Source organism: Homo sapiens, chromosome 8 (assembly GCF_000001405.40).
Source record: "Homo sapiens chromosome 8, GRCh38.p14 Primary Assembly".
NCBI lineage: Eukaryota > Metazoa > Chordata > Mammalia > Primates > Hominidae > Homo > Homo sapiens.
This window is the reverse complement of record NC_000008.11, coordinates 22,296,784-22,319,406: the sequence shown is the minus strand read 5'-3', so window position 1 is coordinate 22,319,406 and position 22,623 is coordinate 22,296,784. Positions and strand designations below refer to the sequence as shown.

At 42.2% G+C, this 22,623-nt stretch overlaps 1 protein-coding gene across 6 annotated transcripts in view, besides 2 other annotated features; it reads right to left on the bottom strand.

Annotated features, from left to right (window-relative positions):
- Positions 1 to 22,623, bottom strand: part of PIWIL2 (piwi like RNA-mediated gene silencing 2) — an 82,253-nt gene that overhangs the window by 38,162 nt on the left and 21,468 nt on the right. For all 6 annotated transcript variants that reach the window (NM_018068.5, NM_001330480.2, XM_005273551.5 and 3 more), the window contains exons 11-20: positions 15,198 to 15,386; positions 14,539 to 14,623; positions 13,391 to 13,480; positions 11,334 to 11,474; positions 9,333 to 9,446; positions 8,107 to 8,295; positions 4,978 to 5,079; positions 4,262 to 4,378; positions 3,074 to 3,162; positions 1,132 to 1,237 (exon numbers count right to left, since the gene is read on the bottom strand). In NM_018068.5, coding sequence (NP_060538.2) covers positions 1,132 to 1,237; positions 3,074 to 3,162; positions 4,262 to 4,378; positions 4,978 to 5,079; positions 8,107 to 8,295; positions 9,333 to 9,446; positions 11,334 to 11,474; positions 13,391 to 13,480; positions 14,539 to 14,623; positions 15,198 to 15,386 — 1,222 coding nt within the window. The remainder of the gene's footprint in view (positions 1 to 1,131; positions 1,238 to 3,073; positions 3,163 to 4,261; positions 4,379 to 4,977; positions 5,080 to 8,106; positions 8,296 to 9,332; positions 9,447 to 11,333; positions 11,475 to 13,390; positions 13,481 to 14,538; positions 14,624 to 15,197; positions 15,387 to 22,623) is intronic.
- Positions 666 to 835: an enhancer, noted in NCBI's record as "experimental_102863 CRE fragment used in MPRA reporter constructs". NCBI's record gives its function as "activates a minimal promoter by MPRAs in K562 erythroleukemia cells, with activity observed for the non-introgressed 8:22176170 or rs75592735 variant allele {active_cell/tissue: K562}" and the evidence as "EXISTENCE:reporter gene assay evidence [ECO:0000049][PMID:34662402]".
- Position 750: a transcriptional cis regulatory region, noted in NCBI's record as "Neanderthal adaptively introgressed variant 8:22176170 (GRCh37/hg19 assembly coordinates) or rs75592735 in the experimental_102863 CRE". NCBI's record gives its function as "modulates activity of the experimental_102863 enhancer by MPRAs in K562 erythroleukemia cells {active_cell/tissue: K562}" and the evidence as "EXISTENCE:reporter gene assay evidence [ECO:0000049][PMID:34662402]".

Genomic DNA, 22,623 nt, shown 5'->3' with positions numbered 1-22,623 from the left:
GAAGGAAAACAATTAGAACAACAACAAAAAGGAAAGTCTGGTAGAACTTGGTGACTCAGTAGCATAACATATGGACCTTGCTGGAGACAGACTTTAAAAAAAAATAACCTCTAATAACTGAACAGTATTAAAGTATTTGCAGGATGCTATAGGAAACATTATTCTATAAAGAGACAAGGTGGAGCCTTAGAGACTGAGTTCAATCATATGAAATTACGACATTTCTTGCTGCTTAGCCTCTATGCAAAGGTTAAGGTCTAACCCTGACCCTAAGAAATGAAAGGCACTTATCAGTGCTTCCTTTGATGTACTGGCCAAGGCAGAAATCAGTACCTTGCTTGCTCACTGTTCTAGATCCAGTATCAGCTTAATTATAGCAATCCTCCATGGTTAGCATTCTTTAGAGTTCGAGGGGTGATTTATAAGGAGGCATTTGTCTTGAACCAAAATGAAAAGAGCCAGCGCCTAATAAGTTATAAAAAGCTGAGTACACTCATAAGCTGCTTTAATTGCTGAAACTTATCCCCAACTTCCCCGATAAGGGCATGAAGATTATGTCTAGAGACATCAGGCTGACAACCTGAGAAAAAATTATTACTTACTAAACCAAATGAAAGCATTTAGCTCTTTAAGCTGATCTGTACAAGCTGAAGCCTGAAAGGAGGAGCTCTGAGCTGCCTGCTCAGTAGCAGCTGTTTAGGAGACTCACCTTTGATTTGAGATCCCTCTCACCACATCAGACTTCCTGTAAAGTGTTCACATAGGTAATCCTTAAAATCCCAGAAACTTGGCCAGGCGCGGTGGCTCACAGCTGTAATCCCAACACTTTGGGAGGCCCAGGCAGGCAGATCACCTGAGGTCAGGAGTTCGAAACCAGCCTGGCCAACATGGTGAAACCACATCTCTACTAAAAATACAGAAATTAACTGGACGTGCTGGTGCACGCCTGTAATCCCAGCTACTTGGAAGGCTGAGGCAGGAGAACCGCTTGAACCCAGGAGGCAGAGGTTGCAGTGAACAGAGATCGCACCACTGCACTCCAACCTGGGCGACAAGAGTGAGACTCTGTCTCAAAAAAAAAAATAAAAAAACAAAAAACCCCAGAAGCCTGAGAATTTCTGTTCTCCTCACCTCATAAAACTTTTTTAAGGAGCCCACGAGGCATAGCTTCAGGCTGTCCACAATCTCCTGATGCGGCATCTGGAACACCACCCGGGAATACCATTTTGTGAGGGTGCTAGGGTCAGGGTGAGCAGAGAGACAGAGAAAGGAAGATGAACAAATGCTCGAAGGGGACAGCCTATGGCTTATGTCAGTAACACAGGTTTCTCTACCAATCAATCCAAAAACAAGTACCTAGAAAATGCATTTATATGTAAGAACAAGCAGTGACATGGAGAAAAGACATATTTAAGTCATATGCAGAACATAAAAACGTGTAATTGTGGCAGAGCGCGGTGGCTCATGCCTGTAATCTCAGCACTTTGGGAGGCCAAGGTGGACAGATCACGAGGTCAGGAGATCGAGACCATCCTGGCTAACACGGTGAAACCCCGTCTCTACTAAAAGTACAAAAAAAATTAGCCGGGCGTGGTGGCGGACACCTGTAGTCCCAGCTACTCGGGAGGCTGAGGCAGGAGAATGGCGTGAACCTGGGAGGCGGAGCTTGCAGTGAGCTGAGACTGTGCCATTGCATTCCAGCCTGGGCGACAGAGCGAGACTCTGTCTCAAAAAAAATAAATAAATAAATAAATAAAAAATTTAAAAAAAGTGTAATTGTGGATATTTCCTACAAAAACTGCTCCAATAGAAAAAATTTAACAACTTAAGATATCCACCAAGAGAGGATTGGTTAAATAATGATACACAGAATAAATTCTGAGCAGCAGTTGAGTTGGTGGAGATTTATTTGTAATGATACAGGAAAATGTACAGTTTAACTGCATATTAAGCTAAGGAATAGTATGCCTAGCAATATCCCATTTGTACAAATATATATATGTGTGTGTGTGTGTTTCAGAGATATATATCACATGTATGTGTTAATATAGGCATAGAAGAGAATCTGAAAGTATATATACATCAAACCTTTGGCAACTGTTAATATGAATAAAAGCTGGACCATGAGGAATTCTCACTTTCTCAATTTCTGCAGATATTTGGGATGAGCATGGCTTATTTTTACAGTTGGAACAAACAATCAAAAAAACCTCATTTCTGGGGGAAAAATGCCAACAACAAGGCAGCACAGCCCCAGCCTTGGAGGAGGTCGCTCTTCAGCTGGGAAGCACATTCACACCCGTGCCAAGTTTGTTAAATAAGCTGCAAAGCCAGGTGCAGTGCTCATGCCTGTAATCCCAGCACTTTGGGAGACTGAGGCAGGTGGATCACTTAAGCCCAGGAGTTTGAGACCAGCCTGGGCAACATGGTGAAACCCTGTCTCTACAAAAATTAGCTGGGTATGGTGGCACATGCTTGTGGTCCCAGCTACTCGGGAGGCTGAGGTGGGAGGATCACCAAAACCCAGGGAGGTTGAGGTTGCAGTGAGCTGTGATCATGCCACTGCACTCCAGTGGAGTAAATCCCAGTCTCAAAAAAAAAAAAAGTTGCATAAACAAATTTCATAGCCGGGCATGATGGCTCACGCCTGTAATCCAAGCACTGTGGGAGGCTGAGGTGGGCGGATCACCTGAGGTTAGGTGTTCAAGACCAGCCTGGCCAACATGGTGAAACGCTGTCTCTACTAAAAATACAAAAATTAGCCTGGCATGGTGGTGCGCACCTGTAATCCCAGCTACTGGGGAGGCTGAGGCAGGAGAATCACTTGAACCCAGAAGGTGGAGGCTGCAGTGAGCTAAGATAGCACCACTGCACTCCAGCCTGGGTGACAGAGGGAGACTCCATTTCCACCCCTCCCCCCCGAAAAAAAAAATTCACATGAAGATAGAGGAAGAAAATGTTTAGAAATCTTTATATTGTAATACATAATGCTAAAAAGATTTGCTGGATTTATAATAAGATTAGGCACTAAAATGAAATAATCAAACAAGATGGCACTGTGAGCAGTACTTACAGATTGATGCTTGCCACGAAGCCAACCACGGAGCGCATGCCTCTACTGGGGTCATGGTAAACATCCATCCCGATCACCATTAACTGTTTCTAGTTTAGAAAACAAAAACAAAAACCAAACCCCAGACCTGAGCAATGCATTCCTCCATTTTTAATTACTGTCTGAATCCCAAAGCAACCTCCCCTTACTGTTTATACATGAAAGTAAGTTCTGGGAAAGAAAAAAAAAAGACAATCAACTTGACATTTTTTAAACACAATAAGCACAGTTAAGATCTAGATCAGGGATCAGCAAAGGACTAAAGGGTAAATAACTTAGGCTTTGTGAGTCTTATGATTTCTGTAGAAAACACAGGTTGAGCATTCCCAAATCTGAAAAGCTTTTGAGCACCGACATGACACTCAAAGAGTTTCAGATTTTGGAGTGTTTCAGATTGCAGATTTTTGAATTTGGGATGCAAGCAAATGAACCCAAACCCCCAGAAATCTAAAATCCAAAATGCTTCTGGTCCCAAGTATTTCAGAAAAAGCATACTTGACCTTTATTTAATTCTATCTGCTTAACACAAAAGCAGTCATGGACAGTATGAAAAGGAGTATGGCTGTATTCCAGTGAAATTTTATTTAAAGACACTGAAAACTCACTTCATATAATTTTCATGTGTCACGGAATAATCATCTTAGTTTTATTTTTTCCGCCATTTAAAAACATAAAAACCAGGTTGGGCATGGTGGCTCACACCTGTAATCCCAGCATTTTGGAAGGCTGAGGTGGGCAGATCACCAGGTCAGGAGTTTGAGACCAGCCTGGCCAACATGGTGAAATCCCATCTGTACTAAAAATACAAAAATTAGCTGGGTATGGTGGCGGGCACCTGTAATCCCAGCTACTCAGGAGGCTGAGGCAGGAGAATTGCTTGAACCTGGGAGGTGGACGTTGCAGTGAGCCAAGATCGTGCCATCGCACTCCAACCTGGGCGACAAGAACAAGAATCCGTCTCAAAAACACAAAAAACAAAAAACAAACAAACATAAAACCCATTCTTAGATAATGGGCTGAAGAGGCAGGGAGCCATTTAGACTACTGAGTAAGTGTTGAGAAGAGGAAGCATAACGAATAAGGAAAAACAGGAAAACAGCTTGGAGGATTCTCTGGAGAGGCAAACTGAACCATCTCGGCATCACTCACCAGAGGAATATCCACTCCCCAGAGCTCACCACCCAATTTACAGTTAATCTGAAGTAAAATCTTCTGGGCCACACTCCGAAGCCTGGTGGGCTGACCAATGGTTCGAACATTGACAACCTATAATGAAGGGACCAAAAGGTGTCAGGAGAAGCAGGTCACTATCAACCTCTCAGAAAATCTGAACTCTAAAGTAAACATTACATTTGTTTAAGAAACTCAAGTTAGAAGATAACACATTTCGCATTAATAATTCTAATTCTAGGGTTTCTAGGCATGCATGCACATGGGCAAAATACAACACACACACACACACATACACACACACCACAAACCCAAAACAAAATAAAACCAACAAATGAAAACTTTCAAAAGGATCTCACGCAGAGTGGAATGCTTTTTTAACTCCCATAGGAAAAATAGCTTTCCCCTTTCAGAATGAAGCCTATATTCACTCTCAGAACTCAGTCACATGAAACCACCTGGTGACTCAACCTCGGAACAAGCGAAACTGTTCATTTGGAAGCATGAGGGCAGCTTATGAAGAGCAATCTACTCTTTGCCAGGTTGCTCTAATCAGGAGAACCTTTCACCAGAAGGCTCAGCACATACTGGCTTCTAACAGCTACTTTAGTCTTTGTGAACACACATATCCCTCTTCTCAAGCCTCGGGGAGGCGAGAGGTGCCATCTGCGCCTCCTGCCCCAACACCCACTCACCTGGGAGGGCACTGGGGACTGCACACAGCACAGCTTCTTGATGGCCCCATAGAGATCATCACGTGGGCCCATGATGATGCAAACAACCATCTGTATCTTCCCCTTGAGGAGATAAGGTATATACAAGTCAGGCTGTGGAATTCTCTGGGGACTTTTACAGGACTCTAGTTGGCAGTATTCTGAGTATGCAAAGCCATAGGACCTTTAAGGAAGACAGGGAACTGAAATAAAGAGGGTGGACATTCCAACCAGAACAAGGTCCTTGGAGCTGAATTAGCATTCTTTGGCTCAGGGCTGTTCTGTATAGATAGGTAATATGTTACTATTAATTACCCAGAGCTGGCCCTGATTACCAAAAGATTTATCTATTAGAAGACTCAGATGGCTGGAAAAGGACCAGGTTTGAATGCATGCAAGGTTTACATTACTTGCTGCTTCCAATTCAGTATAATGTTTTTTACTACTCTCTTTGGTTTACTAAACAACTTATTACACTCATACCACAGAACTTTAACCAAGGAAACAGGGAATGCAATACTACAAGAAAGCATTCAGAACTAAATGCAAACTGGAATGAAGCTATTGCCAAATTCATGAGCAGCCACTCCTAACTCTGGTGAAGAGACAGAATGATATTGTCAGCAGCACAGCATGTCAGTATCATCTATTCCTCACTGCTGAAGGAATCCAATATTGAAAAAAGAGGACCTTTCAAAGCCTGAATAAAGAAAAGCAGCACTCAAGTGAAAGAAGGTTGCCAACCCTTTAAGCCAGAAACTGCTACAAATGGTAAATCAGTGGTACCCTACTCCAAATCAAGATTGGTGTAATGTTAAGACTGTTCAGAGGACACATTGAGCAACGACACCAAGCATTTCCAAAGGCATGAGAACAGAGCTGCGCACTGGGAGCCTATGGACTGGACACAGCAAACAGGTGCGTTTTTTCAGGCCCTACAATGACTTAAAAGTGTTTATGTTTGTTTAAATTAACATTTAAACATAGGAAGATACACACATATGCAATTCCAGGTTTTTGGCCTTTACCAACAAACAAGCACATTAAGAATCATTTTGGCAATCCTGGGTTTATATCTCCAGTCACAGGAGTTACCCTCTTTAGTTCATTTCACTCCCCTCCTGGCCCACTTCACTCATTTATACTCCTTATCAGGCTCCTGGAGACATACGAGTTTGTGATTCCTCATAGAGATGATAATGGAATGCCTTAAAGATGAACAGACAGAGCAAGGCCGCTATGAGATAAGTTGGTAAGCGATATGAATGAAATTCACATCCATGCCACATGAAAACTGTCAGTTGTACCCTCTCAAAAAGGGAACACAAGTTGTGAAATGGGGGAGCTGATGTACTGGGCTGGGTTATTCTTTTGAAAGCAGAGCAGAACTTATCTATGATCAGGTCTGAGGGAGGCCATGGTAGAGTATGACAGGCATGGTAGATCAGGATGGAATTATAGAGAATGCACAGGCTGGGTGCAGTGGCTCACACCTGTAATCCCAGCACTTTGGGAGGTGGAGGTGGGAGGACTGATTGAGGCTGGGAGTTTGAGATCAGCCTGGGCAACAGAAGGAGACCCCATCTCTACAAAAAATTTAAAAATTAGCCAGGAGTGGTGGTGCACGTGTACAGTTACAGCTACTCAGAAGGCTGAGGCAGGAGGATCCCTTGGGCCCTCAAGTTTCATGTTACAGTCAGCTATGATCATGCCACTGTACTTTAGCCTGAGCAACAGAGTCAAGACTTTGTGTCTAAAAAAAGAGAGAGAGAAACACACCAAAGAAAGAACACAAGTGTGCTGTTGTGAATGATACACCAAGAGTGCCAGATCAAAAACAGAATGCTGCTGGGCATGGTGACTCACGCCTGTAATCTCACTGCTTTGGGAGGTTGAGGCAGCAGGATCACTTGGGGCCAGAAGCTCGAGACCAGCCTGGGCAACATAGTGAAACCCTACCTCTATAATTTTTTTTTTTAATTAGCCAGGTGTGATGGCCCACGCCTGTAGTTCCAGCTACTTGGAAGGCTGAGGCGGAAGGATTGCTTGAGCCCAGGAGTTTGAGGCAACAATGAGCTAAGATCGCACCAGTGTACTCCACATGGGTGACAGAGTAAAATCCTATCTCATTTTTTTTTTTTTTTTTGGAGAAAAGGTCTCACTCTGTTGCCCAGGTTGGAGTAAAGTGGCATGATCATAGCTCACTGCAGCCTCAACCTCCCCAGGCTCAGGTGATTCTCCCACCTCAGCCTCCTGAGTAGCTGGTACTACAGGTGCATGCCACCACACCCAGCTAATGTTTAGATTTTTTGTAGAGACAGGGTTTTGCCAGGTTGCCCAGGCTGGTCTCAAACTCCTGGGCTCAAGCAACCCGCCCACCTCAGCATCCCAACGTGCTGGAATTCCAGGCGTGAGCCACTGTGCGCCCAGCTGACCCAATCTCTCAAAAAAAAATTTAAAAAAAGAACTCTATGATGCCAAGATGATTGAATTCTAGGATTGAACTCACCAGAACAATTTACCAGAATGTTCAATTCAAGGGCTAATTACTTCCAAAAGCCTTCCCCTTGCTTTTTTCTCTCCCTATTCCTCTTGTTCGATTTTATTTACAAACAGGTAAGAACTGAAAAGCCTGAATAACTAAGTTGTGAGTGCTATGACCTGGCCAGCTCTAGTGTTCCTGATCAGTCATCAGGACCCAATCAATGGGCCATCTGCCAAGTTCATCACCAGAGTAATTTTAATCTTGAACCAGGCCGGACTGAGGCAGCTCAGTAGTGAATCGTGCAAGACGGCACCTAACCCAAGCTGCTGCTTTCTGAGCACAACATGTTCTATAGATAATGAACCACAGTTAAGTCAGCTATTCTCTCAGCCAGTTACGTAAGAAAAAGAAGACTAGAGTAAGTGAGGGTGCCAACACAGAGTGAGAGAAGCAAAATTAACCAAAGGGCATAAAGAACACTTTTCAATCAGTATTTCATGTGCGCATGGGTAAGACAAGTTCTAGGGCATCATCAACAGCAGACTGATAACCATGATACATTAAAATTAAGTATTTAAGTAATTTAAAATGGACATCCTATAAATTTATTTGAATTACATTTTTACCTCAGCTCCTAACGTGGATTGAATGGTTCTGACATAAGTCTCTATTCGGTCATCCTTTAGTTCAACCCAGGCCGGTGGGCTCATACGCATGCCAATGGGGCCGGCTATCTTCTCCAACATGTTGACCAGTTCTCGAGCCTGGTCCATTGCTCTCTTTGGGTAAAAAAGTGCCCAGAAATGCATGGGGATCTAGGAACAACCAAGAGCTTTTAGTATTTCTCACAATTTAAATATCCCAAACTCATACTTAAGATTTCATTCTAGAGAATAAATTACTTTTCACTCTCATTGCTTGAATCCTGTCTTATCTAACTCCTGTATTAACATGAACGTACATGATAAGAAAACTGTGGCGTAGTCTCAAAATGGAATGTTATACAGTAATGAGAATGGAAGAGCAACAACCATGCCTAACAACAGGATGAAACTCACTAACACAAATTTAAGAAAAGAAGCCAGACACAGAAGAATATATAATCTATGATTCCATGTATATGTAAAGTACAGAAATTGGTAAAATCAATCTGTGCTGTGAAAAGTCAGGACAGTGGCTATACTGGGTGTGTGAGGGGTAAGGGATAGGCAGGAACTGGGAGAATGGAGGGGGCTTCTGGAGTGCTGGTAAAGTTCTGCATCTTAACCCTTGGTGTGGATTACACAGGTCTATTTAATTAAAAAAAAACTCATCAAGTTACACGTTTATAAGTGTGCTTTTCGTTTATATTTCAATAAAACATTTAAAAACATGCATTTTATATATCTGTTTTTATATATCTGGCCATGAAGTCCATGTTGGTCAAAAACACTGAGAAGTAATTATATGCCATTTTGTACCTTGATACAAATAGCTAGTGTATTATTAGTTCCCTAGGTGAGGTACTGTTTTAATCTAACTTCTTTCACGGATACAAATACCCTCTAGATACTCCCGGGGAAAAAGAGGGGGAAAAGAGAAAGAAAGAAGGGAGAGTGGGTAACAGGTTGGCACTATGTGAATTACCACAGCAATTTATTTCCTTTCCCTAAGTCTATGGTCAGGCAAAGGGCTTACCTCTAACAACTCATCAACTGCTCTGTTTGAAGGATCCCTGGTTAGTAGGTAATTCAGAATGGGGATTCAATTGGTACTTTCCCTCAAAAAAGAAGACTCTAGATCATTCCTGCTTCCTAATTCCCACACTTTGGGGAATACTGGTCCTCTCTTTATCACTTCAAAAATCACTTACAGTCAAGATGGAAGGGTCTCTGGTTACTTCCTTAACCCAGTTTAGTTCCTGAGATGTGATAAACGAAGTATTTTTTAAGTTAATTCTTTCCATTGGCAGAACACGTCCTTCAATCTAAACAGAAAATAAACCATCTATGACATGAGCCTTTTCAAACGCTATTTAGAAAAACACTGCTACTGCTCTATAAGGCCTGCTCAGCTCCACCACAGACACTTGTCCCTGTTAGAACTTTTGAGACTAGCAGAATAATAAAGCTTCTAGCAGTGAAAGTCCCTGTCAATAAAAACCTACATTTATATAGGTAAAATTATTATAGGTACTAGTCTTTCATTATTGAAGCTTCCACATGATATCCCAAGAAAGGGATTTGAAAACATTGTCTATTTAGAATGACTGAATAAAGGAAAACAATCTTCAAAAAATATTTTAAAGGGGCCGGGCACCGTGGCTCACGCCTGTAATCCCAGCACTTTGGGAGGCCGAGGAGGGCAGATCACTTGAGGTCAGGAGTTTGACACCAGCCTGGCCAACATGGTGAAACCCTGTCTCTACTAAAAATACAAAAATTAGCTGGGTGTGGTGGCGCATGCCTGTAGTCCCCAGCTACTTGGGAGGCAGAGGCAGGAGATTTACTTGAATCCGGGAGGAGGCTGCAGTGAGCTGAGATCACACCACTGCACTCCAGCCTGGGTGACAGGGCAAGACTCTGTCTCAAAAAAACTTTTTTAAATAAATAAATAAAATATAAGTATTAAAAACATAAATGTCCCTAAATTATTTTACCTTCATAAATTGGACTTAATATCCAAGGGGGCCGGGTGTGGTGGCTAACACCTGTAATCCCAGCACTTTGGGAGGCCAAGGCGGGTGGATCACGAGGTCAGGAGTTCAAGACCAGCCTGGCCAAGATGGTGAAACCCCGTCTCTACTAAAAATACAAAAATTAGCCGGACGTGGTGGCACGTGCTTGTAATCCCAGCTACTTGGGAAGCTGAGGCAGGAGAATCGCTTGAACCTGGGAGGTGGAGGTTGCAGTGAGCCGAGATTGCGCCATTACACTCCAGCCTGGCCAACAAGAATGAAACCCCATCTTAAAAAAACAGAAAAAAGAAAATAAACAAGGGCTAGCGTGGTGGCTCACACCTGTACTCCTAACACTTTGGGAGGCTAAGGTAGGCGGATCATTTGAGGTCAGGAGCTCGAGAGACCAGCCATGGCAACATGGTGAAACTCCGTCTCTACTAAAAATACAAAAATTAGCCAGGCATGGTGGTGTGCGCCTGTAATTCCAACTATTCGGGAGGCTGAGACAGGAGAATCACTTGGAATCCGTCTCAAAAAAATAAATAACACACACAAAGATTCAGTTGTAAGGATGTACACTGCATCGTTATTTTTTTAAATTAGTTAATTTTTTTTGAGATGGATTCTCCCTCTGTCTCCCAGGCTAGAGTGCAGTGGCCCCATCTTGGCTCACTGCAACCTCCACCTCCCGGGTTCAAGTGATTCTCCTACCTCAGCCTCCTGAGTAGCTGGTATTACAGGCTCGTGCCTCGACACTCAGCTAATTTTTGTGTTTTTAGTAGATATGGGGTTTTACCATGCTGGCCAGGCTCTTCTCGAACTCCTGACCTAAGGTGATCCACCTGCCTCAGCCTCCCAAAGTGCTGGGATTACAGGCGTGAGCCACCACGCCTGCCCTGCATCATTATTTATAATAGAAAAATACTAAATTCAATTTGAATGTAAAAGGATAGAAAACCGTTAATAAAAAGTATCAGGCAGCCATTAGAAATACTTAGAAAAATATGACCACGCACAGAGGTTCATACCTGTAATCCCAATAAGACTCTGTCTCAAAAAAAAAAAAAAAACTTAGAAAAATATTAAATGACATGGACAAACATTCAAAATATACTGACAACAAAAGGAAAGTCACATAAATATTGCACACGTGTCTCTGTACATGTGCATACACCATCACGTTTTTTGGTTTACCTTATGTACATCCTTTTGCAGACGGAGCCCCCAACGCATCAGTTCATTGGTGGCTGCCTCGTTCTTTGCAATTCTTTGCAGCAAGCATTCCAAAGCACTATGGTGTTGCTTGGGGCTCAGATTGATTTGCTGAGCCAAATCCTAAACAGAATTAAAATAAAGATAACTTATAAAGATAACTTCACCAATATGAAGTTAAATAAACCCCAGTAGGTCTAAAATGTTTCTCTTTCCCATTGAAATCAGCAGAAATTTTCAAACATCTTCAAGGACTTATTAAATATATCTCTTAGGAAGGTGAATGTGATATAAGGTTAAAAATTGATTGGAAGGATGAGGTGGGTGGATCGCTTGAGCCCAGGTGTTCGAGACCAACATGGGCAACATGGGCAAGACTCTGTCTCTATAAAAAACTTTTAAAAATTAGCCAGGTATGGTGGTGCGTGCCCTGTACTCCTAGCTACTCAGGAGGCTGAGGCAGGAGGATCACTTGAGCCCAAGGGATTGAGGCTGCAGTGAGCCATGATTGTACCACTGCCCTCCAGCCTGGGCAACAGAGCAAGATACTATCTCCAAAAAAAAAAAAAAAAAAAAAAAAAATGAATAATAAAAGAATTTCAAATGTCATCGACTCTCTCTTTCATGATGTGTGGATCTTATTTCTTTCTCAAAGCATATTTTGACTTTAAAATTCCTATAAGAGCCTATGAAACAGGAACAAAGGGGCTTGATTACACCTACTTAAAATGTGGGGCCTGGCACAGTGGCTCACGCCTGTAATCCCAGCACTTTGGGAGGCCAAGACAGGCAGATCACTTGAGCCCAGGAATTTGAGACCAGCCTGGGCAACATAGCTAGACCCCATCTGTATAATAAAACAAATATTGAAAAAGAAATAAAATTTGGGAAAAAATGTGTAAAAAATGCCATGTGTGAGGCATCCAGCCAAACAAAACAGAAAACCATATTCATTCTAACACTATATGCCATAGCATACTAGTCATTTGATGTTACCATAAGTCACTTTTTTGCCCAGAACTTGTCATGGTGTTTGACTCATTTATAGGTACTTGCTAAATATTGTTGAGTAAAATCTAACAGGTATGCAGGAAGATTCTGAATCACATAAGTGAGTTCTTTCTTTATTCTTCTGAGATGAATGAATTGCACAGCTGTTATTCCCTCTGAGGTAGTCATTAGGGTCAGTAAGTCTACAGGGGTAGATACAGCTCTGTGATCATAAAGTCATCAGGCAACTGGGAGTTGTATAGAAAAGGCCTTGACCTACAAGGTAGGTGAAAGTAGAAGAACTGGAAGGTAAACATGAAAAAAATCTCTCATAGGAATTTGGAGCTTCACTTCAAGCTCTTTCTTTATGATGTTACCAAAAACTGTATGTGGCATATGGGTCTAAGACAGACATGGACTGGAAAGTGAGGCAGCAGAGAGGAGTTCAAGCGTGGACAGCCCCAGACAGAGTGTGGCGGGCCGGCTCTGGGGTCTGGACTCACGCCACCTAGGTGCTAGGTGCTGTACCCATCTGTGCTACTCAGCCCTGCCCACAGGAGCTGAGCCCAACACCCCCAGGACACTCAGGGCCCCACAAGATAAACCATCCTCATCTCCTGACTTATTTGCTTTTTGCCTCATTATCTTCTCCATGCCTTCAAATAAACTGAAGGCTTTAGAAATGTTACAATAACTCAGTGCTCTCAAAGAACCTCACCCATGGTCATATGACCAGTTTACAATTATCCACCTGACTGGTGAGGATGAAGACAGAGTTGTTTGTTTCTTCTTATTTTATAATCCAGTCCCTCTACTGTTCTAACGACCTTCAAAAGGAAGTTCTGATATGCTTTTTCACATCGTGTGTGGGAAGGGACATGGATCATGTTTTACAGAGGAGAAAACTGGAGGCTGGAAGAATGGACAGGCCCAGGTTACAATGCAAGCCAACATCAGAGTTGGAACGTGGCTCGGTTCTAACTCAAACTGTTAACCAAAAGGCTGCCTCACAAAGTGGGCATTTCCGGCTGAAAACACAGGACTCCAACCTTCATGGCTCTGAAGTCCTTCTTCATCTTCTCTGGGATTCCGGTCATAAAAGAAAGCTCAGGCAGCAGCAGGATTTCCCCTTTTAGCAGCTTTGAAGAGAGAACGAAGAGGGAAAATAAGGCAGTACAAGAGGCTCATGTTCCCGACCATACAGGACATGTCATGGCCAGGGCTGCTCCTGCAGTGATATACCTTGCGCACTAAGGAGTATAAAATCCTGGAGGAGAGAGCAGTGAAATGCTAGAAGTATTTTAACCTTTCTCCCTCAGTCACTGTACATACAGCCTGTTGTATTAGGTCAAAGGAAAAATACTAAAACTGTCAAAGGAGAGTAAAAACTAGAAAAAAAAAAATCTGTCCCTCTTGGGCCTCAAGACAATGGTTAAGACAATGCCTCCTATTGCTAAGCAGTGTGCCTCAGTCTCACTGTATCCTACTGGTCTTCAATCTTCACATTTAAGACAGAGGAGTCAGGTAACAAGGTACCTTCCTTAAGCCTCTGGCCCTGTTAAAGTAAATGTCTAGGCCAGGCGCAGTGGCTCACGCCTGTAATCCCAGCACTTTAGGAGGCCGAGGCGGGCAAATCACGAGGTCAGGAGATCGAGACTATCCTGGCTAACACGGTGAAACCCCGTCTCTATTAAAAATACAAAAAATTAGCCGGGGGTGGTGGCGGGCTCCTGTAGTCCCAGCTACTCAGGAGGCTGAGGCAGGAGAATGATGTGAACCCGGGAGGCGGAGCTTGCAGTGAGCTGAGATTGCGCTGCTGCACTACAGCCTGGGTGACAGAGCCAGACTCCGTCAAATAAATAAATAAATAAATAAATAAATAAATAAATAAATGAATATCTATACCTTTCCTCATGGATTCAGAGTTTTAATCTTCCTTCACTGGAAATTCTCCTTAACTCTTTAACCTAATAGCTTATGTGGATATTTAGTTCCGCCTCGTGGGGACTTCTAAAGCAGATCTTACCAGTGTGAGTGGTGCCTCTGGCTGGATGAGACAGACAAACACTTGCACAGCTTTCCGCAACTACACTACGATTGCTACTCCACAGCTCCCACAAAGCCATGAGGACGGCTAAAAGCAGCTGACAGGATGAAGAACTTAAGCTGGAATTGTAAGCCTGACAGCCCTACTCACCATCCCATGATTATCCTGTCTCTCACTGGGCCTGTGAATCAGCAATGGCTGGTCCTCTTCCTTAACTGTGATCCCATAATTTTTGCTAGAGCAGAGTAGAGGCAGGAAAAAATTTCAGAAGCAGCATCAATACTCTTAGAGCACCATAGTCTGAGTCTCTTAACCAGGACTGAGGTATATAATTTGCATAATACTCTTGTCAAGGAGCCACTGCAAACCGATCATAATATATTTATAACAGGAAAAAGCAGGCTCAAATTATGTTGCAATTAAATATAGGAGAAATAAGGCTAAAAGTTCAAGAAAGACTTTGTTAAAAACATCAGGCTAAAGGGTTCAGGCAATAGAAACATGAAATGACAGTCAAATGATTAATGACTTGAATTTAATCTCTCCAGACTTCTAATAAAATCAGAAAAACAATTCAAAGCCCTTAATTTATATAGTAACTTCCAAATTACTAAAATAATTGAAGATATAATGGTAGCATACTCAAGTCAAATCCCACAAACAAGCTCATTCAGTGTTAGACACATTACCAATTCAATTATTTTGAAAAGTGTCAAGTGGTATGCTATTGCAGAACTCAATATCTGCTGGAGAACGTGGACTACATCCAACCCCCACCCTGAGGCCCAAACCCAGTCTCTTCTTGCTACCTGTAGTATTCCAAGAATGTGATCTCTTTCCCATCAGACATCGTGAAGCTATCCTTTGGAGTCTTATTCCAATCCACATCATCAATACGATAGGTACGATTGTTATATCGGGTGATAACAATATTGCCAACCAGAAGCTTAGTACACTCATCCTGGAAGTGTTCTTTATTCTGCTGATAAATGGCATGCCTTTGGAAAGAGATAAAAGACTTTTGGATCACAGTATATATCCAGAACAGTATGAAAGGGATAGGGGATCAAGTAATTGAGGAATCTAATCACAGCTATATAGCACCAGAAGGCTCCAGTTGTGTTAAAAGATGGGACTCTTGGCCAGATGCAGTGGCTCACGCTTGTAATCCCAGCATTTTAGGAGGCAGAGGCAGGAGGACTGCTTGAACCCAGAAGTTGGAGACCAGCCTGGGCAACATAGTGATACCTTATTTCCTTGGTGGGGGAAAAAAAAGGAAAAAGCTTAAGAGGGCCTGAACTGCAGGAAATAAGAGAATATAGGCCTACCAGGCATGATGGCTCACAGTTGTAGTCCCAGCTATTCGAGAGGCTAAGGTGGGAGGATTGCTTGAGCCCAGGATATTGACATCAGCCTGGGCAACATGGCGAGACCCCATCTCTAAAAAACTTAAAAAATTAGCCAGGTGTAGTGGCGTACCTTGTAGTCCCAGATACTCCAGAGACTGAGGGAGGTGGGAAGACGGCTTGAACCCAGGAGTTTGAGGCTACAGTGAGCTATGATAGCATCACTGCACTCCATCCTGGGTGACAAAGTAAGGCCCTGTCCCTAAATTAATTAAAATTAATTGTTTAAAATTTCGTACTTTGAAATACTCATCAAATCATAGAAAGTTGCAAAATGTGGACATAGAGTCTCATGTACAAAACTGCCATTGCTATAATATCATTAACTAGACTACAGATCTTACTCCATTTTCATTGTTACTTACATACACTGGTGTGTTTGTATGTGTATACAGTTTCCTCACATCTATAGGTTACCACAATCAGATACCAAACTGTTGCATGTCACCACCAAGGGACTATTTCCTGCTGCCCTTTATATTCACACTCCCCCTCCTTCCCTAGATCTGGTAACTACCAGTCTATTCTCTAGCTTTGTCATTTTGAGACTCCTACAGAAATAGAACCAAAAAGTGTACAACCTTTTGAGATAGAGAAAACTTAATCTAGGGGTAGGGATGGGAACCCATGGCAAGCCAACTACAAGTGGCAATGGAGAAAAGCAAAGTTCTGTTAGCCTAGATTTGTTGTCTAAGTTGAGGTGGGCAGTGCATCAACTAGAAATTTAAGGGCTAAATCCTGGTAATCAGAAAGCCATAGAAGGCCACACATCCTTGGCTGACTGGGAAACCATCTATGCTTAGAAGAGAGCCAAGAAATCTCAGCTGAGAGTTAAAAGCCAAAAAAGATGGGAGAACTACATTTAATTTTGAAAGCATTCTTCAATCTACACACAAATCCATTAGCAGAGATGGAAGCCTTATGGAGTCATGGGGTTTGAGTATAACTGCTCTCCAAATCATTATCCGAATGACTAAGCTCTACAGACAAGGGGGTGATCACTAGGAAGCCAGGTTAAAAAATGATAATAAGGAAAAACCGAGCAAAGACATCAGCAGCCGCACGCCACAGAAATAACAGAGTCTTTAGTCTCAATATGGATAGGTTAGTTTAAAAAAAGAAATCAGAAAAATAGGCTGGGCGCAGTAGCTCACACCTGTAATCCCAGCACTTTGGGAGGCCGAGGTGGGCGGATCATGATGTCAAGAGATCGAGACCATCCTGGCCAACATGATGAAACCCATTTCTACTAAAAATACAAAAATTAACTGGGCGTGGGGGTGCGCGCCTGTAGTCCCAGCTACTCAGAAGGCTGAGACAGGAGAATCACTTGAACCCGGGAAGCAGTGATTGCAGTGAGCCAAGATCGCGCCACTGCACTTTAGCCTGGTGACAGAGCGAGACCCCATCTCAAAAAAAAAGAAAAATCAGAAAAATAAACCATCTAGACTTGCCAAAATGTATTAAACAGAAAGAAAAATAAGAAATCTCCAAATATTTGAAAATTATAATACACTCTAAATAACCCACAGATCAAAGAAGAAAGCACAAGAGAAATGAGAAAATATCTTGAACTGAAGGAAAATGAAAAATCAGACAATAAAAAAATCAGGGACTGTAGCTAATGCAGTGCTCAGAGGGACATTTGTGCCTTAAATTACATGAGAATGAAACACAGAACCTACACATTTATGATCAAATAATAACTGACAAAGGTGTCAAGGTAAATCAGTAGGGAAGGACAATCTTTTCAAGAAACAGTGCTATGATACTTAAACATGTAACAAAAGGAACTCAGACCGTTACCTGACATCACCTGTAAAAGTTAACTCAAAATGGATCGCAGATCTAAATATGAGTCAAAACTATAAACCTAAAAAAAAAAACAGAAAATCTTTGCGACCTCGAGTTAGGCAATGATTTCTTGGATATGACAACAAAACCAAAACCTATGAAAGAAAAAGTATAAATTCTACTTCATCAGAATTAAAAATGTCTACTCCTTAAAAGAGACCACTGGGCCGGGCATGGTGGCTCATGCCTGTAATCCCAGCACTTTGGGAGGCTGAGGCGGGGGGATCACTTGAGCTCAGGATTTAGAGACAAGCCTGGGCAACATGGTGAAACCCCATCTCTACTAAAAGTACAAAACAGCCAGGTGTGTGGTGGCGCATGCCTGTAGTCCCAGCTACTCAGGAGGCCAAGGCATGAGAATCAGCCCAGGAGGCAGAGGCTACCGTGAGCTGAGATGGCGCCACTGCACTCCATCCTGGGTGAAAGAGCGATACGCTGTCTCAAAAAATAAATAATAAAAGAATAAAAAACAAATAAAAGGGACCACTGGCCGGGTGTGATGGCTCACATCTGTAATCCCGGCACTTTAGGAGGATCACTTGAGCCCAGGAGTTCAAGAACAGCCTGGGCAACGTGGTGAAACTCTATCTCTACAAAAAAAATTTTTTTTAATTAGCTGGGCATGGTGGTGCATGCCTGTAGTCACAGCTACTCAGGAGGGTGAGGTGAGAGGACTGCTTGAGTCCTGGAGGCCAAGGCTGCAGTGAGATGTGACTGCACCTCTGCGCTCCAGCCAACAGAGCAAGACTCTGTCTCAAAAAAAAAAAGTCACCTTTAAGAAAAATGCAAAGACAAGCTACAAAATGGAAGAAAATATGCATATATCATATGATACGTGCATATCATTCACCTGATAAAGTATCTGTACTTCTTATATGTAATGAATTACTGCACAACTCAGTAAAAACAACAACCCAAATATTTAAAATAGGCAAAAGATATGAACAGATACCTCACCAAAGCAGACAAATGAATGGGAAGTACACACAGGAAAAGATGCTCTACATCATTATTCACTAGGAAAATGTAAATCAAAACCACAATTCGATACCACTGTACACTGGTTAAAATTTCTAAAATTAAGACTGACTACACCAAGTATTCGTGAGAATGTGGAACAATCTGAATTCTCAGGCACTGCTAGTGGGAATGTAAAACAGTACAGACACTTTGGGAAAGACTTTCTTATAAAATTAAACACACACCTACCATATGACTCGCCATTCCGCTCCCAGGTATCTACTAACCAAGACAAATGAAAGTATAAGTCCACACAAAGACTTGTACACTAATATTTATAGCAACTTTATTTGTAACAGCCAAAAGCTGGAAAGAACCTGGAGAAACAATGGGTGAATAAATTGTGGTAGAGCCACAAAATGGAACACTACCCAGTAATTAAAAGGAATGAACATTTGCAACATACAACAATGTGAATGATTTCAAAATAACGCTAAGTGAAAGAAGCCAACCAAAAAACAATAGCAGGCAGGCAGGTGGGTGGGTGGGCTGCTGGGTGGGTCTTCTTCCTCGCCCCCCTTATGCCTATAATCCCAGCACTTTGGGAGGCTGAGGCTAGGTAGGAGAACTGCTTGGGCCCAGGAGTTCAAGACCGGCCTGGGCAACATAGTGAGGTCCCATCTCTATTAAAAAAAATGTTTTTATATAGCTGGGCGTGGTGGCAGGCACCTGTAATCCCAGCTAGGCAGGAGAATCACCTGAACCCGGGAGATGGAGGTTGCAGCGAGCTGAGATCGCACCATTGCACTCCAGCCTGGGTGACAGGGAGAGATTCTGTTCCCCCCACCCAAAAAAAAAATAATAAAATAAATACAATAAAAAAGAACAAGAACATAGCGATTCCATGTATATAAAATTCTAGAAAATGCAGAAAAATCTCTAGTGACAGAAGGCTGACCAGCATTTGCTGCCCATGGCGTGCAGAGGAGGAACAGAAGTGGGAAGAGGCTTCAGAGAGACCTGAGAACATTTTGGGGCAATGGCCATGTCTATTTTCTTCACTGTAACGTTTCACAGGTGAAATATATCAAATATATATCCATATATCAAAACTCATCAAACTGTATACTTTAAATGTGTGTGGGTTTTTTACGGATGTCAATTGTACCTTTACACATCTGAAAAAAAGAAATTAATGGAACAGAATAAAAGATCTGGAAATAGACTCAAACAGATTAATACTGAGTGTAGAATAAGGTGGTATTTCAAATTTGTAAGAAAAAAGATCATTGACTGGGCGCGGTGGCTCACGCTTGCAATCCCAGCACTTTGGGAAGCCGAGGTGCGTGGATCACCTGAGGTCAGGAGTTCAAGACCAGTCTGACCACCATGGAGAAACCCTGTCTCTACTAAAAATACAGTTAGCCAGGTGTGGTGGCACATGCCTGTAATCCCAGCTACTCAGGAGGCTGAGGCAGGAGAATCGCTTGAACCCAGGAGGCGGAGGTTGCAGTGAGCCAAGATCACGCCATTGCACTCCAGCCTGGGCAACAAGAGTGAAATTCCATCTCAAAAAAAAAAGAAAAAAAAGAAAAAAGATCATTAAAAAAACAGGTTAGCTTGCTAGCCAATTTTAGAAAATTCTTTATGAATTTAAGATTAATATCTAAGAAACTAAACCATAAAACTAAATGAAAACAAATATTCATATACTCCTGAGAATAAAATAAAATTCCCACAAACTGGAAAAGATGGATTACTCTGTCACCATAGTAATAAGTAGCCATAAGAATGGGTTTTAAGCCTGTTAAATCAATCTACATCAATTTATTCAGCAAACACACTTTTGCAAGCCAACTAATCAACGTCATCCCCTTGTTTCTATAAGCCAGCCAATCACTGATGACTTAATCCAATACGCATACCTCTCAGGGCAAATCAACTCACAAGAGTCTCGCCTGAGTAACCACCCTTCCTCAGAAGATGCTGACCTACTTGTCCATCTGCAAGTCTGCAATCCCTGAACTATACTCTTCTCAAATATTCTATAGAAGACCAATAGTCTCTAACTGCAGTAAGCAAGAAATTCAGCTTTATTTTTATTTCCGATAGAACAGAGGTCTCACCATCCTCTGACAATTCTGAAGGTCCAACCAAGATAATTTTGAAAACTTCCCAGGCAACATTCCACAGATTCTCAGACCAACAATCCACTCACTGGGCCCTTGTGTTTAACTCTTTGTTCTTCAGATCTGCTGTCAAGTGAGTCAATCCCAACAACCATCTGAGGTGTGACTAGTTTCATTAAGCTCTAGTTGCTGAATCCCAATATTTATAATCAAACAGGCCTTTGTCATTAGCCTTAGGTCTTTATGTAAGCCAATCAGCCTTACTTCCTTACGTAAAATAGACCTTTTGGTTTAGAAGTACAGCCTCCAGCATATAATCAGACCTAGATCTTTGTGTGAGGTCATTAGCCTTTTTGTTTTGAAAGTATATCATTTGAAAATATTTTTGCCATTATCCTTTTTTTTTTTTAAATAGGGTCTCACTCCATTGGCCAGGCTGGAGTGCAGTGGTGCGATTATGGCTCACACTCACTGCAGCCTTGACATTCCAGCTCAGATGATTCTCCCACCTCGGCCTCCCGAGTAGCTGGGATAACAGATGTGTGCCGCCATGCCCAGCTAATTTTTGTATTTTTTGTAGAGACAGGATTTTGCCATGTTGCCCAGGCTGGTTTCGAACTCTTGGGCTCAACCAATCCACCCTCCTCAGCCTTCCAAAATGCTGGGATTATCAGCATGAGTCACTGCACCCAGTCAATTCTGTTTTTCATTTGCTTGCTTTGCTTTTACTGCTGTCTATACATATAAGGCATTTTTGTTTGTTCCGGACTGTCTTTTCTGCTCAACATAGAAAACAGTGCTCTTTAGAAGCCAGATAAGGCTTCATACCAATTTAGGCCTTTCCTGAGAGCCTATGGTTGGAGGCCCATTAGACCAGCAACCCAACTGTAAAAATTTGGTGAAACCCCCTGACTCCAAATGGTTCCTATCAGTAATTTTTCATCCACTGACCCCGATCCTTCTCCTAGACTATAAATTCCCACTTTTCCTTGTTGTATTCTGAGTTGAGCCCAATCTCTCTCCCATACTGTAAATCCCCACTGCAGGGGTCCTTGTGCCCATTGCACTGGTTCTGAATAAAGTCTGCCTTATCATTCTTTAACAAGTGCCATGAATTTTTTTTTAACAGAAATCACAACTAGATGCATTACAGTAAAACTTCGAAAGCCAAAGACAAAAATAAAAAAAAATTAAAAAGATAACAGTATCACTGGTGATTGATTTGTCAACAGGAACAATGTAAACCAAGGGCCAGGTGCAATAGCTCACACCTGTAATCCTAGCACTTTAGGGGGCCGATGTAGAAGGAGGATAACTTAAGGCCAGGATTTCGAGGTCAGCCTTGGCAACACAGTCAAACTGCATCTCTACAAAAATAAAAATAAAATAGGCTGGGCACAGTGCCTCACACCAGCACTTTCGGAGGCTGAGGTAGGAGAATCACTTGAGCCCAGGAGTTCGAGACCAGCCTTGGCAACACAGTGAGACCCTGCCTTTATGAAAAAATTAAAACATTAGCCAGGTGTGATGGTGCATCCCTGTAGTCCCAGCTACTTGGGAGACTGAGGTGGGAGGATTGCTTGAGCCCAGGAGTTTGAGGCTGCAGTGAGTTGTGATCGTGCCACTGTACTCCAACTGGGGTAACCAAGTGAGATTCCATCAAAAAATAAAAATAAAAAAAAAAGGAAAGAATGTAAGCCAGAAAATATTTCTCAAAGGGCGAAAAGAAAATAACTGCCAAATCCAGAATTTTAAGTTAAAGGCAAGTTGGAAAACATTTTTAGATAAAAATTAAAAGAATTTGTCACCAGCAGAGTCCACACTAAAGGACATATTACAAGCAGTTCTTCAGGCAAAGGGAAAATAATCTCATATAGAATAGTGAG